General features: G+C 35.3%; 1 protein-coding gene across 29 annotated transcripts in view, besides 1 other annotated feature; it reads right to left on the bottom strand.

Moving 5' to 3' along the window:
• The window catches only part of PPIP5K2 (diphosphoinositol pentakisphosphate kinase 2), a 92,499-nt gene continuing 80,686 nt past the window's right edge, over positions 4,874-16,686 (bottom strand). For all 29 annotated transcript variants that reach the window (NM_001281471.3, XM_005277534.3, XM_005277536.3 and 26 more), the window contains one exon: positions 4,874-16,151. In NM_001281471.3, coding sequence (NP_001268400.1) covers positions 16,039-16,151 — 113 coding nt within the window. In that variant the 3' untranslated portion in view covers positions 4,874-16,038. The remainder of the gene's footprint in view (positions 16,152-16,686) is intronic.
• Positions 5,540-5,729: an enhancer, noted in NCBI's record as "active region_22860". NCBI's record gives its function as "activates an Ori minimal core promoter by ATAC-STARR-seq in GM12878 lymphoblastoid cells {active_cell/tissue: GM12878}" and the evidence as "EXISTENCE:reporter gene assay evidence [ECO:0000049][PMID:35858748]".

The following is a 16,686-nucleotide window of genomic DNA, read 5'->3' as shown; positions in this document are numbered from 1 at the left end:
ATAAATCAGGAATCAAAAGTTTGGCATGTTTCAATCCAAACAGATTTTGTTACAAATTAGTCTCTTCCAACTGAAAACAGAAACAAAACTAGGAATATATTCTGTGCAGTTTTGGCAATTAGCTTATTAGTAATACAAGTAGAACAATGGGTCAATGAAGCTGTCTTCTCATTCATACTAGTTCAATGTCATATCTAAAAGCTGGCAAGATTCCAGAAAGGTAAAATAACTTTATATATGGATTACAAAAGCCTGTTAGTGAGACTACTCATTTTTATAATACCAATTGTTAAGCTCTAGTTAGATGCAAAAAGCACTGTTCAACTTTCAAATGCTTAGCCTGGAGAGCCTGGGGTGTTTGCCATTTGAGAAAACTTAGAAGTAATTTGATACATAGCAATTTTCCAAATCTTGAGACTTTTCAAGGGTAGAAATGGTAAATGTGGAATTACAAGTTTGTTAAGGAAGTTATATAACAGGATATTGACATCATGGTGTCTACTTTCCTTTTTATTATTTTAAGTCATATTTACAGCTACTTTAAATTTTATTTATTTCCTTTAATTTTACTTAATTTACTTTGCAGAATATTTTTGAGAATAAATATTGTCTCTTAATCTAGAATTTGAGTATTGAGACTCAGATAGACTTAAAAAAAATAAATTGGTTATCATGTAGCTAGCAATTAACATAACTAGGAGTTGAATTGTACTATCTTCAAAGCCCACACTTTTTCTACTATTCCACACCGTATCCTTTTACAGCTTTTCACCCCATAATTCTACCTCTTGTGATTTACTGCGATGAAGTAATGTATCAGAAGAAAACAAACAGTGGGGTGCAGGGGAGGGGAGGGAAGAAAGGAATTTAAGTGCTTTACAATAAGGGATATTTAAACAAGTTACAGTACATCACTTAATGGACTATTATACATGTTATAAAAAAATAAGATTTCCCATTAAATGAAGGTTGAACTTGTGCAATTTATCTATACTTCCTTCCCAAACCACTATACACCAAGAAAAAAATAAAATAATATTAATAATAAGCTATAAAGAGAATGTGAATAAAAATAATATCACATGAGGGATGTCAACAAATTTTTGGAAAGTAGAAAGCTCAACACATTGTGATAATGAATTTAAAGAGCAGAGGCAACTGCAACCAAAGACACTGCAGACAGGGACACCAAAGAAAAGCAAACTGAATGCTCCAAGAAATGCCTAAAGGCTTGGGGCATATGGTAACTGGGAAGCAAGGATGATGGCATGGAACTTGAATGAAAGCTGTGTAAGGGACATCAGTGGTTTCTAGGCTTACCCTTCCTCCTTCCTGGAAAAACACTGTGACCCTGTCACCACGTGATTCAGAGGAAGGTACGGGCAGAGAATCTAAAACACACATGAAGTAAGACAGGAAATTAGGGGAAGCAACTTAGAGAGAATTTGGCCCAAACTGGAGCAGAAGGAGGTGACCCTGTTAAATGTTTTTTAAATGGCCTCAAGGGCAGTTTGGGGACACAAAAAAGATTAGAGAGTAGTCTGTCTTTTAAAATGTTTAATTTACTAAAGTTACAAATTCAAAGATAACATTTTCTATTTGTAAATCCAGCAAATTTTAGTAGCTTTTTGAAGGATCTTTTGATTGATGTTCAGTTCCATTTTCTTGATGAGTTCATAATACCCATTTAAGCACTTTAAACTGCATTATAAATGCTTTAAATGTCAGAAAACCATTCCTAGGTGCTCATGGAATTCTTATAATGTGAAAATAAATTAAATTTGATTTGAATTTTAAATCAAATTAAATCAATTACATGTTTTAAAATTAGAATCACAAGGCTGATCTGTTAGCTACAGTTGGCTAAATTTTTAAAAATATTACAATTAGGCAAGGTGCCATGGCTTACACCTGTAATCCCAGCACTTTGGGAGGCCGAGGTGGGCAGATCACTTGAGGTCAGGAGCTCAAGACTAGCCTGGCCAACATGATAAAACCCTGTCTCTACTAAAAATACAACCAAAAATATCAGCTGGGCGTAGTGGCGTGTGCCTGTAGTCCCAGCTACTTCGGAGGCTGAGGCAGGAGAATCACCTTGAACCTGGGAGGTGGAGGTTGCAGTGAGCCAAGATCGTGCCACTGCACTCCAGCCTGGGTGACAGAGCAAGACTCTTGACTCCAAAAAAAAAAAAACAAAAAAAACAAAAAAAACTTAGTTACATAAAAATACAAAAATGTAGTAATTCTTTAATGCAAGAAATATTGTTACTTTAGTTTGAATCCCTTAAATATTGCTCTATTTAATTCTCAAGCTTCCCATTGTTAGAAGATAACTCTTTCCCACTAAGGAATAAATTATGTTACCCACCACCACCACCACCAAAATTTTGAAGCTACCACTTCATGCCATTATAGTGGCCACCTTTTCAGCTCAAAGTTTCTTTTTTTTTTTTAACTTATATTTTAGGCTCAGGGGTACAAATGCAAGTTTGTTATATAGGTAAATTATATGTTATGGTGGTTTGGTGTAGAGATTATTTCATCACCCAGGTAATAAGCATAGGTAGTTTTTCAATCCTCACTCTCCTCACTCCCTCCACCTTTACGTAGGCCCTAGTGCCTATTGTAATTCTTTGTGTCTGTGTGGACTCAATGTTCAGCTCCCACTTCCAAGTGAGAACATGTGGTGTTTGGTTTTCTGTTTCTGTGTTAGTTCGCTTAGGATAATGGCCTTCAGCTGCATCCATGTTGCTATTAATACAGAGCATATCATCTCATTCTTTTTTGGGCTCGGTGGTATTCCATGGTGTATATGTACTATATTTTCTTTATCCAGTCTACCGTTGATGGACATTTAGGTTGATTCCATGTCTTTGCTGTTGTGAATAGTGCTGCGATGAACATACACATGCATGTGTCTTCATGATAGAATGATTTATATTCCTCTGGGTATATACCCAGTAATGGGATTGCTGGGTAGAATGGTAGTTCTGTTTTAAGTCCTTTGAGAAATTGCCAAACTGCCTTCCACAATGGTTGAGCTAATTTACATTCCCACCAACAGGGTATAAGTGTTCCCTTTTCTCTGCAACCCTGCCAGCATGCTATTTTTTTACTTTTTAATAATAGCTATTCTGACTGGTGTGAGATGGTATCTTGTTTTGGTTTTAATTTGCATTTCTCTGATTAGTAATGTTTAACATTTTTTATACGCTTGTTGGTGACATATATGTCTTCTTTGGAAAGTGTTTGTTCATGTCCTTTGCCCACTTTTTAATGGGGTTATTTTTTGCTTATTTAAGCTCCTTATAGATTCTGGATATTACACCTTTGTCAGATGCATAGTTTGCAAATACTTTCTCCCTCTCTGTAGGTTGTCTGTTTACTCTGTTGATAGTTTCTTTTGCTGTACAGAAGCTCTTTAGTTTAATTAGGTCCCATTTGTCAGTTTTTGTTTTTGTTGCAATTGTTTTGGCCTGAGCAGGGACTGGATTCATGTTCTTACTGAGAGCATTGTTTATAGTTGCTATGTTAAGCATTCTATGACCCAAAAAAGGAGGTTGTTGTGTAGCATGAATGCCTTAGATTCAAAATATACATCGTCTAATTCTTCTGTCTACTCAGAGAAATCTTCAAGTTTGCCACCTCTATCTAATTGGCTATATGCCTTACTGGATTTTCAATTTTTTTGGTCCTTTTTAAAATATAAATGTCTCCATGCCTAACATTAGAAACTGAATTTTATGAATCCTTCATTCATTTCAAATTCTTTCAGTGGTTCTGTGTAGGGCCACACAACTCTTAACAATAATAACATGACATTGATTGATTTCTGAGAATCTGCCATTGTTTTTTCCTAGTTTTTTGGGCCCAGCTTCCATTAACAAGCAACAGGAGGAAATATTCAGGGAGAAAAAAAAGATGCAAATGGTTATCTATAATGTTGAAAATAATACTGAGCTCTACTTTACACATTCATTGAAGAATCTAAAGAATCTGAAATATGTATACAATGAAAACCAAATAAATAATTAATTCCAAGCAGAAACAAATATGGTATAAGAAATGACCGTAATATACTACTTGGCTCAGCAATAACAATATTTACGTAGCCATTAATACTATAAGCATTGATTAATGACTTAATAATATTAAATTATTGGAGGAAAAAGAGGAAGAGTAGAGTTTAGAAGGTTAATTTCTTACTTACCAAAACAAGAAGTCAATAAATAATATCTAAAATTGGTAAATCAAAATATAGATGTATAGCATTACTATATAGAAACATGGTGGTAAATATCTGAAGAAAAAGCTAGTACTCTTAAAAGGAGATCCTTTTAGAAAATGGGACTTGAGGTAGGTGTGGGTATAGGTAAAGGGAAAAAAAGAGGCAAGGAACCAAAGCACTTTGACATACTTTGGTATGTCACTTAATTCTCAAGCTTCCCATTGTTAGAAGATAAACAAGTCTTTCCCACTAAGGAATAAATTATGTTACCCACCACCACCACCACCAAAATTTTGAAGATGCCATTTCACATCATTATAGCGGCCACTTTTTCAGCTCAAAGTTTCTTTCCCTTTTTTTTTTAACTTTTATTTTAGTTTCAGGGGTACAAATGCAAGTTTGTTATATAGGTGAATTACATTTGACCTTCTAGATTATATGTATGTATTACTCTAATAAAAATTTTAAAATTTTTAGAAAAATGCCAAAATTTTAAAGTGATATTTATGAACTTTATAAATATTTTGTAACATAGGAAATATTGTCCAATATAAAGAATTTAGGAAAGACAAATTTTTTCACAATACAATGATTGCAACTACATTAACATGCCTAAGGGTAATGGAAATAAACAACTAAAAGGGATAATGGAAAAATGAAAACAGTTTTACTTGGGTAATGAGATTACAGATGACTGAAAAAATTTTTAACTTTACAATAGTAGCTTAACATCACTTTATTTTACAAAGCTTTTATAACATACACAATAACATTTTAGAATACACACTTCCTTTGGGATTCTATTAGCATTTTATGAAAAATCTAAGAGAGTCTATTAAATAGCATCCTTATTTCCAGCAGTTTATACTCCAATATTATGAAATTCTTTAAGTTCCCTAAATTAAAGCCTTCCATTAAAGGCCAGCCCAGGCACATTTATGAAGTCATCATTGAATGCCTAACTTTGCTTTTAAAAACCTCTTCCTACCCTCATGTCTTATTCTGTTCCCTATATGCCAGAATAACATACCACCATCTAGTTCCTCAGGCAACAACTCTCCTGGGATGCCAACTGTTTCCTGTAGTTTACAACTTGTTTTAAATTGTGAGAATGTCTTCAGTGTGGTTTCCTATTGCGGGAGTCATGTGTGTGCCCTGGATTGTGAAAGTGTCCTCATGGTATGTTTTGGCATTTTATTTCTTTTATGGACCTATAGGGCTTATCAAGATAATGAGAGGGCATGAGATTTTATATTTGTGGTCCAGTCAAGAGAAACCCTTTCCTGCTCCCTCCTTTGTGAATGGAGCCCAATTCCAGCAATCTGTCATGCATATAATCTACAACCTAACCCCCTGTTTATCTCTTCCCCTAGCTATAATTCATGTTGACCAAAAAAACAAAACCAAAACCAAAACCAAAACCAAAGGTTGAGGTACCTTTCATATCCCTTGGACAGGAAGACTTTAAGCTTGATTTAGCCGTTGATTCCTTTTACATTCAGATAACTAGTTTTAATTCTTGCTTTTCACCTGTAACATATATTTCCAAAATAAATATTTTATCTATATTTCCAAGTTTTTGTAACAAAGCAGTTAATTATGTGGGTTATTTTGCCATGAACTTTATGACTGCTTTTGAGCACTTGGTTCCTCATTAGAAAGTAAATTCCCTGGAAACAGGACTTTTCATATTTGTATCATCAGGGCTTAGTGTAGTAACTGGTTTATAACCAGCATTCAGCACACATTTAGAGAAGGAATGCCTGTTTTCAGGTCACTGTGAGAAATGCATATGATTAACTATGGGGTTAATGGCAAGATTAATAAAGCTGGCCTTCAAAGGGCATTTGCATTTTAGAAGGGGCTACCTGTGTGTTTACCTGGGAGTTCTCTGAGCTTTCTCAATGATATTTTTAAGGTAGAATCTCCAAGGCTAACATTACAAACACTATATCTAGTAAGTAGGTGAGAGTTTTTGAGCAGATAAATTCCTCCCAAATTCCCACACCATATTTGGCAACTAACTTTTCTATGTATATGGTAGCTTCCTGGCTTCACCCAGTAACATGTCATCTGATCCCTATGATCACTCTAGTTTTCTAGGGACAATTTTTTTTGAGGGAGGAGTGGTCAAAATGAGTTATAATAAACTGTTAAGATAAAATGAGTATAAGGTCTAGTCTTTCTCATAGGGTAAGTAATGTTTTTATTTGTGGTTGCAGCATTGGTCAGAATGGAGGGCAGAAAGCAGTAAGGAATGAAATATTCTTAGAATCACAACATTATGGACTGTAAGAGATAGGTCAGAACCCAGATCTCACTTTACAGATTAGTTTTACAGATGTCAGTTTAAACAACCACTCAGACAAGGGTAATAATGCATATGCAGTGGGAACACGAAACACATCCTATACACTCAGATTTCCACTCACGGCCATCTGCCTTTACAGTCTAGAAGACTACAGCACCTCTAAATATGTATACTAGTTGTATGTAATTCTTTTCTTGCAGCAGAAATATTTCCATAACTGTATTTCATTTTATTTAGGCTAACACAAAAAAATAGTTTGCATTCACAATATCAAACAAAATCCAGAACTAAATGTATTCTGGATAATAACAAAAAGCTATTATGCAAATAAATTGTCTCATGCTGATAATTCTCAAAATTGTTATTATAAGTATTATACTATTAACTGTATTAACCAAGTAAATTCCTCAAAAGAGCATCCAGGGAACAACAGAGCATGATAATGGGAATCAGTACTAACTTTTAGGGTATGTTATTTACCTCAATAATTGTTCAAAAAGCACTTGTTGACTATGAAAGAAAAGGGAGCTAGGAATAGTAGAGGGAATGGTAAAGATTCTAGAGTCTCCCAGATAGTCTACCACTACATAGCTCTACCATGTAGTGGTAGAGCTGAGATTAATACCCAGGTCTCCTTTCTCCCAGCTCCTTATTCTATCCATTAGAGCAGACAACTTTGCTCTTTTCTGAAGAGGCTTCTCAAAAAGTGTAGAGAAAAAATCATCATAACCTCATGGTTAAATATAAATATTTTCAGAAGCACAAGGTTCATTGTCAAAAATGGAATTAAAGCATCTATTCAATGATCTATCCTCTTGCTCAGCCTGTGGAAAGCATATGGTAAGATTTTCAGCCACATGATTCCAAACTAGACATTTATCACTTCTTACTGGAGTTCTGAAATTACTCCATGCTTTCCTTGAGTTGTGAATTGATCAGTTTTCACTTTGAAAAGTAATTGCTTTTCCCACTGGTGAAGTCAACTCCATTCGCTTCCAATATGAGTGTGGCTCATTGATTCTCTCTTTGTGGCTTTTACATCTATTTCACCGAGGAGGCAGGTATGGCAGTGGGACTTTCAAAAAGGCTTCTGGATGACCAGTGAAGAATCAGTTATATAAAATTGTGGTAGTTAATAACATTTGGGACTCCCAGGTCTCATTTTATTGTCATGACTTTTGAGTACAGGCATTGTTGGACAAATCAGCATATCTATGTGGCATGAAAAAAAAGTCGTAATGATATGACTTCCAATTTATTCCCCACACATCAGCGATGCTGCTTTTTGTTAACAGTAGAGCCTGTGTTCTTTTGTTCTCTGTCTCACCCCTCCTCTGCTTTCTCTTTTCTCCTAATTTTTCCTTCATTCATCCATCCATCCATCCACCCACCCACCTTTATCATCAAGCTTTCTATTCAGCATTGACTAACTTAAGACAAATCTATGGCTTTTAAAAGCAGCAAAAAACTTTCTGAAGGCATATTCATTTTTCCTTTTTTTTAAAAAAATCCTTCCATATATCAAGTACTCCTGAAGCACTAAATGTAGAATGACAAAAGAGACTGCTTTCCTTGTCAAGTTACATCTTTCTAACTGCTTTAAAATGGGTATCTAAACTGTACATCCACTATCCTACCTGGGTCACACAATGGTGCCACTCATACCACACAAAATGTAAGATAGGTGGGTGGGATGGTATCCTTGATTTTATTTAAATACTTTTTTTTTTTAAACACTGCTTTGGGAAGAACTGAATTCTCTTATTTTAAAGATTTTTAAAAGGAGAAGATGCTAGAATAACCTTTATTTTTTGGTTTTTGGGGGGTGTCTGTTAGATTGTTACTAGGCAGGCTGTTGCCCTGGCAACAGGAGCAGCCATAAAAGAGCATTAGGAGCTATCTTGTACATCTTTGACTATAAAAATGCTGAAGAGGCCTGGTTGACATCTGGACTATATACAACTCTATTACAACAAAAACAAATAGTCCTTCAAATTTGGTCTTCACTTTATAGTTTACCAAATATTATTTCATTTGATTCTGACAACACTACTGTTAGCAGGACAGATATTAACTTCATTTTTAAAATATAATTGAGATGGGCAGTCTAAAGAGAGGCAGGCTTCTTTTGTTCTTCTTCCTCCTCCTCTTCCTTCTTGTCAAAGAATATTAACCACAAAAGAAATGATATCCAGTTTGAAAATGAAGGAGAAATTAGGTCTTAATTTAAAAAATTATCATCAAATATGAAGAGAAACATAAACTATCTTCAACAAAACTAGAAGACACTTTAACCTCAACCCCAAAATAGGAGATAGAGCTGCCAGGTGCAGTAAAGGTCAGATAGCTCCATATCGCAGCCAAAGTCATTAGACCAAAATACTCCAAAATAGATGACATAATCTGAGACAGGGAAAAAAAAACAACAACAACTAGTTCCTTCTCTAAAACAATGGAAATGGGATGAGTGTCAGTAGTAGGGGATTTCCTGGATATTGTCTGGTACAGTGGCAGGAGGGGCAAAGCTGAAGAAGAAAATACATGCATATCACATTGACAAGCAGTAGTCTGTAGACGTGGCAGACAGGAGGAAAGAGACTCCAAAGGTGGTAACCCTGTAGTTGCCAATCTTTGTTGACTGGAGAGAGTAAAAGGCTACAACAGCTCTCTCAGACCCACAATCCTGTCATAAGGAGATTCACTGTCACCTTGGTAGGATTGTGTGAGCTTAAAATGCCAACCTACGGCCGGGCATGATGGCTCATGCCTGTAATTCCAGCATTTTGGGAGGCTGAGGCAGGAAGATCATGAGGTCAGGAGTTCGAGACCAGCCTGGCCAACATGGTGAAACCCAGTCTCTACTAAAAATGCAAAAATTAGCCAGGCGTGGTGGCGGGCGCCTGTAATCCCAGCTACTCTGGAGGCTGAGGGAGGAGAATCATTTGAAACTGGAAGGTGGAGGTTGCAGTGAGCTGAGATCATGCCACTGCACTCCAGCCTAGGCAACAAGAGTAAAACTCCATCTCAAAAAAAAAAAGAAAAAGAAAAAGAAAAGCCAACCTACCTAACATATGAAATTGCATTTTAAAAAACAACAAAAACAAAACAAAAACAAACAAAAAAGAAATTGTATCAAATAGATGAGCCAGAAAGAAATTTATCTCATATAAAGGTAAGTAATACTTGAAAATAAACCTGCACAGTGTTCATGCACAAACACTTCAAGAAAAGGAGAAATGGAACAAGCAGAAACAATTAGCAGATAAAAACCACTCAACAGGAAAGAATGAATCAGCTGAGCACATGAAAAATGTGACCAAATATACTGTCATAACTCAAAGAACTTAAGGAAATAGAGTTCATAAAGAAATGTAGTTGATCAGAAACACCATAGCAAAACAACCAAAGGAAATGCAACATAAGCTAACAAAGTTCAGAAAAGAAATGAAAAGGAAAAAATAATCAACCAAAACTGTGCAGTAGAGGAAAAAATACACTAATTGGATATTGTTCACAGCAAGGAGTCAACAGATAGGATCTATATATATATATATATAGACTTTAAAATTAAATATAATTCAAAATCATAGTGAAGGAAAAAACCATTAGCACAACAAGTGAACTATAGCAAATGTGAATAACATAATGCAAGTGTAGTATACAGCATACATTGCTGATTATGTATCCATTATCCATGCCCTCACTATCCAAAATGATGATTTTGGTCATATATCCTTCTTTTCCACAGAATCATGTGCTTTAGGGCAGTGGTTCTTAACTAGGGTCAATTCTTCCCTCACAAAAGACATTTACTAATGTCTGGAGACATTTTTGACTGCCACAGTTTGGAGGCGATGCTGCTGGCATTTAGGGTGAGGAGATATGTTCCAGGCCAAAGTCTGATGTGTGATCTTTCAGGCCTGACCATAAGCAATTACAAAGGCTTTGCCTGACAGGCTTTGTAGGGGAAAGGTGCCCTTCCCACATGAGATTTAAACACAGCCAGTCTCTGGAGGGAGTTGTATCTGGTGCTCAGGACCCCCTGGGCTGGCCATGTCTATAAACCTAGCTGCATTCCTAGACCAGGTACCTCCATGCTGAGTCTTCCTTATCAGGGGGCCTTGGTTGAGACACTTTTCAGGTGCCTCCACAGAGACCTCGCTATTGGTGGGCCTTGACTGAGACACTCATCTCCACTCTGACTCAGTTGTTTTCTACTTCTAACCCTTCCCTGCTCCCTGTCCGCAGTCCTTGAGGTCCATAAGATGGCAGGAACCTTTTGTTCATTGCTCCTTAGCAGTGAAACAATTTCCTCTGCCTGGACTGCATGTCGTCTGATTGACGCATGTCCAGTGCTAGTCCATGGTAGGGGAAAAATGGAACAACAAGGAGCTGGCCCTACTTTCCTTTTTGGTCTCTTGCTTATAATTTTATCATAGTAAGTGAATAAAGATGTGATTGTTATTTTCATTTCAGCTACTTACCTTAACTGACTCTCAACACTTCACAGCTAGGTACAGAGATCCTACTAGACATGCTGCTATGCATGGAACAGCTTCCTATGATGTAGAATTTTATGGTCCAAAATGTCAACAGTGCTGAGGCTTTTCGGAAAAACTGACTCCATCATCTGCTCTAGGGTCAGTAAGGTCATGGGAATCTCCTGGAGTATTCTATTTATCTAGGGGTGAGTAGATGATCAAAGAAGTTGGCTCAATCACACTGAAGTAGATGGCTTAATATTAATATTCCAGGATTGGGACAGAACTTCCCTCAATTTTTATTGTGTTGGACATGAACAAAAAAAATATGTAGTCCTCACTGAAACCGACAGCAATTATTGTTAACACGAGAGAAAACAACTTTGGGATAAAGTTTATACTATGCCAGAGGTGACAAGGGAGGTCACTTGGGCTTTTGATGACAATATGGCTAATGCAACTGTGGCTGAAGCCAACCCCACCTTTGGACCTTCAGAAATGTGTAATAATACATTTTCTGATGATTTAAACCAGTTTCAATTGGAATTTTCCTACTTGCAGTGGAAAGTATTGTTACAGAAAGACAAAAGAATTTTAAAGCAATAAAAAAAGCAAGCACAATCTAAAAGCAAAGATACATTACATAAAACAGACTACACTAATCTATTAAGTAAAAGGGATCTTAAAATTGAATCACAAAGCAAAACCCAATATATACTATATTAAATAACCTAAAACAAAGTGACACAAATACCAAAAAGTAAAAAGATGAATATCAGGCAAATGCAAGCCAAAATAAAGCATAGGTCATAATCTTAATATCTGACAATTTATAGAACAAAAAGTATCCAATGGACAAAAAGGACATTTTAATAATGATAAGGTAAAACCTATAATGAAAATCTAGCATTCATGAATTTATATGCACCAGAAAACATACCCACATACTATATAAAAAGTAAAGTAAAAACCATTGATAATAAAAGGAGAAATTGACAGTGATCCCTAAGCGAAAAGATGTTTTTCTCACAATCCATGACAAAGCACATGAACCAAAAGAAAAGCAGTTTATAAAAATCTCAATGAGATATCATCTTACAAATGAGATACCATCTCACGCCAGTTAGAATGGCGATCATTGAAAAGTCAGGAAACAACAGATGCTGGAGAGGATGTGGAGAAATAGGAACACTTGGTGGGAGTGTAAATTAGTTCAACCATTGTGGAAGACAGTGTGGCGATTCCTCAAGGATCTAGAACTAGAAATACCATTTGACCCAGCCATCCCATTACTGGGTATATACCCAAAGGATTATAAATCATGCCACTATAAAGACACATGCACACGTATGTTTATTGTGGCACTATTCACAATAGCAAAGACTTGGGACCAACCCAGATGTCCATCAATGATAGACTGGATTAAGAAAATGTGGCACATATACACCATGGAATACTATGCAGCCAAAAAAAAGGATGACAAGGACATGGATGAAGCTGGAAACCATCATTCTCAGCAAACTATCACAAGGACAGAAAACCAAACACCGCATGTTCTCACTCATAAGAGGGAACTGAACAATGAGAACAGTACTTGGACACAGGGCGGGGAACATCACACACTGGGCCTGTCAGTGGGTGGGGGGCTGGGGGAGGGATAGCATTAGGAGAAATACCTAATGTAAATGATGAGTTCATGGGTGCAGCAAACCAACATGGCACATGTATACCTATGTAACAAACCTGCACATTGTGCACATGTACCCTAGAACTTACAGTATTAAAAAAAAAACTCAGTAATATATTTAGTTAAGGAGCTATAATTCACATAGATTATATAGTACACAATACTAAATAGATTTTTTAATGTGCTCTGTTCTCTGAAAATAGAAATTAGATCTTCCACAAAAATTGACCTATATAAACAACACTTTACACAGTAATATTTTGGTACCTACGATTATGTACAGAGGGAAACCTGTTTCTATGTGGACTCCAATCACAAATGACTCCTTCTGAAGGAGTGTAAAAATTATTCCCATGAGCTGGGTGTGGTGGCACGCACCTATAGTACCAGCTATTTAGGAGGCTGAAGCAGAAAGATTTCTTGAGCCCAGGAGTTCAAGGCTGTAGTGAATTAAGACTGTGCCACTGCACTCCAGCTGGGGTGACAGAATGAGACCTTGTCTAAAAAAGAAAAATGTTCCCACTGGCAAGAATTCTGTTGTTTTGATATCTCCCAACACAGGAAAAGAGAATTAGAGAGGGGCTAAAACTGCTGGGCCACTCTAAGAGAAGAGATCCCAACCCCAACTAAGAATATAGGCAGTCTACACTGTCCAGATAGTAAGGCAAGGATAAAATGATGTAAAGTTAATAAACACTGTACACTATGTGTAAAGCAAATTCTTATAAATACACAAAGACTGAGAAATTTCTACCAAAGTATGAATACAAAACAAAAATGTGAAATCTTGGTTCAAACTGGCATGGCACTAGTTAACAGTGGACATTTAGGTCAGACAGAGTCAACCCAAAAAGAAATCCGGGTGAAAACAGAAACTTTTTCCTTGGCTAGTGAGTTTTAATTGGATATTTCTTGAAGAACTTTAACTTTTCTCTCATAATTTCCATCTATTGCCTTTGTGCTCTATGTTTATGCTAAGCACACTGCCACATGTTTTTGTTACTTTACTGTATTCCCTTCAGCCTCTATATCTTGTCTATCACTGACATAAGGTGTTCAGCACACTTTTCTTCACCCAAAATTGCTGTACCACGCCCCCCAAATTTGCTAGTATTTGAGAATGGACTACGTAACTCATTTAAACCAGGGCAGCAGAATCTGCCAGCACTAGACTTCAAGGGCTAAGTTAGGTCTGAGCCTATTATATGGCTTTTAAGGGTGAAGGAACTGAATAATACATTATGAAGATTAATATCTCAGGGTGACTAGACAATTCTTCATGCTGGGCTAGTTCACCTCTTTGGGATGGAGGACTGGGCTCTAAGAAGAAATATCTTCTAGTATTTAAAACCAAAAAATCCCACATCTTCTCAGGACAGAATCAAGTGAGAAACAGATGCTTCAGTCAAACTGCCACTAAACAGTGATAACTATAACATTTTGCTCTGATACAGTAGACTTTTTATTTGTTTTGGAAAGTGATTCTAAGATTTTTACAAATAGAGTGTCTAGTCTACAGAGCAATACTACTGAGTTTGGTGACTACAGGAAAGTAATAGTTCTTGCATAACAATGGAAAAAGTTAGTTGTACTGTACTTTCTAGTTTGGAAAGTAATATATTGCTATGTATATAGCCAATAATAAATTTTATTTAATATGTAAGTACTAGTTAATAAAAAAATTCCTGATTTTTTCTACTTTGAAAACTAAAAAGTAAGAGATAAGAAAATTTTAAAAATTTACCATTTAAGTCTCTTTGATTCTGGAAATATTTTAATTAGGTTCCACTTTAAAAAAAAAGTAGCTTCCTTATGACCTCCACAGTGAGTACATTAACTACATTTTCACAAACAGAAAACTTACATACATTCAACTGTTTACAAGACATGTCTCCATATAACACATTTACATTCATGTGAAATCTATGAACTTCTTTAATTGCATATATTTATGACTCTTACATCTGGTACCTTTTAAAACAGCTAACATATAGTATGCTTATTTCCTATAAGTTAATTAATATATGACTATTTAAGGTGAGAAGAGTCTCATTTGAAGAATTACAATAGTTATATTCATACCATGGGAAATCAATAGTTTTTCTAAACATAAATTTCAAGCTAAAGCTTTAGCAATTTAAGTTATTTAACTACCAATGCATGAAATTCTTATCAGATTGTCCCATTTGGATTACAGTTTAAGTCATTTCAAGCTGTTCACAATTATTTGTGCATTGGTGGGGGGGAAAGCACCAAGGATAATAAATTGATTTTTCACATCACAGATGAAATCACAGCGCAATGATTTCAATATCCCTTCAAAAATCTAATCATTTATAAAGAGCATTTATTTCAAATGCTCAATCTTTAAGCTTTCTTAGTGTGATCAACTGATACACTAGGGATAAGAATGGAAATGGTTAAAAACAGATGCTATACATAATACTTACTAACTTAACAGAATTCAGATTTCTCCTAACATTGTTGATTTCCATTTTTGAACTGACTTCTTTAGATCTAAAAAGAACTCTGAAAGTAAGTGTAACATTTATACACTTGTCAACTATACTTAAAAAGAAACTCTGAAGGTGCCTTTCTTGTCAAAATACAAAACAAAAGTTTTCCTGATGAACAAGGCACCTTGTATGGTAAGGAAATATATAAAGAAAATATTTTCTACAAATTAATATATAAATCTATGTGCACAAAGGTGTAGTTCTCCCAGCTGCATATGTAATATTTTAAATAACACACAATAAAAAAATTCAAAACACAGATTGAAAAAATAACCCATGTGGCTAATACTCCAGTTGTTAAATATTGCAGCATATATGTCACTGTAACAATTGGGAAAGATATTCTAATCTAAACGGTTAATGAAATCTCTTTGGAAAGACACTTTAAAAGTCCCCAATATGTAACCCTGGCTGTCAAATTTCAATCTAGAAGTTTTAACAGCTAAGATGCAATCCCATGAAAATAAAAGTGTGCACAAAGGCCAGCTCATCAGACTCTGCAGTACATAGCATTACTGCTGTGACTTTGGTACGAGCCTGCTGGGCTTTTATGTTCCTTTTCATTACTATGTGCACATGGTAAACATCATATTAACAACAATCGATTTTTATCACTATAAGTTTTGCTGCTCACAGAATGCTAACAAACATTGTTTTAAACATTTCCAGATCATGACAACAGTTCCTTACCTGAACATAAACAAAGAAAACCTTAGATTTAAAAACATTTTTAAGTGAACACATAAATGCATAAGGAGAAACATAAGAACATACTATTTTTATAAGTATAAAAAGTTCCAGCTTCTGCTAAGATTTCATTTCTTTTTCCCAGTGTTTTTTTTGTGTTCATGCGTTTCTGTTTTGCTAGTTATATTCTTTTTCCGAGATGAGGTATTAGGAACAACTGCACTAGAAGGTCCACTTGTAGCTACATAAAACAAAAACAAAAAAAAAAAACTATTGCTTAAATTTACACAAACAATCCAAGTTCAAATAATACTGCTGATTGACAAAACAATTCTTGTTATAATTGTGATGTAAATGAAATGTAAAAATTTAATATAGCATTTTTAACCTTTTACTTTTCAGAATTCAACACAAATATAGAAAGGTAATGACAATGGGCTGTGTTCACAAAATTAATTTCTCATTTTACTCTACATGCTTCCTAGGAAATGAATATATTTTCATAATTTTTAACTACCATCCATTGTGCTAATGATTTTTAAATTTATACTTCTGGCCTGGGCCTTTTCCTTTAGCTCAAGATATGTATATACAACTGCCAATTGAAACTTTCTTTAAAGATATCTGACGAGAAAGACAAACTTAATATGCATAAACTGAACTCATCATTTTCTCTACAAGCATCTATTTCCTCTTGTATCTTCTATCTTATCCCTCTCTAAAAAGCTAGAAGGTAAGAAAACTAGAAGCACGCTTGACTTAGGAATCATCCTTCT

This window comes from Homo sapiens, chromosome 5 (assembly GCF_000001405.40).
Source record: "Homo sapiens chromosome 5, GRCh38.p14 Primary Assembly".
Classification (NCBI taxonomy): Eukaryota; Metazoa; Chordata; class Mammalia; order Primates; family Hominidae; genus Homo; species Homo sapiens.
This window is presented reverse-complemented; position numbering and strand designations above follow the sequence as displayed.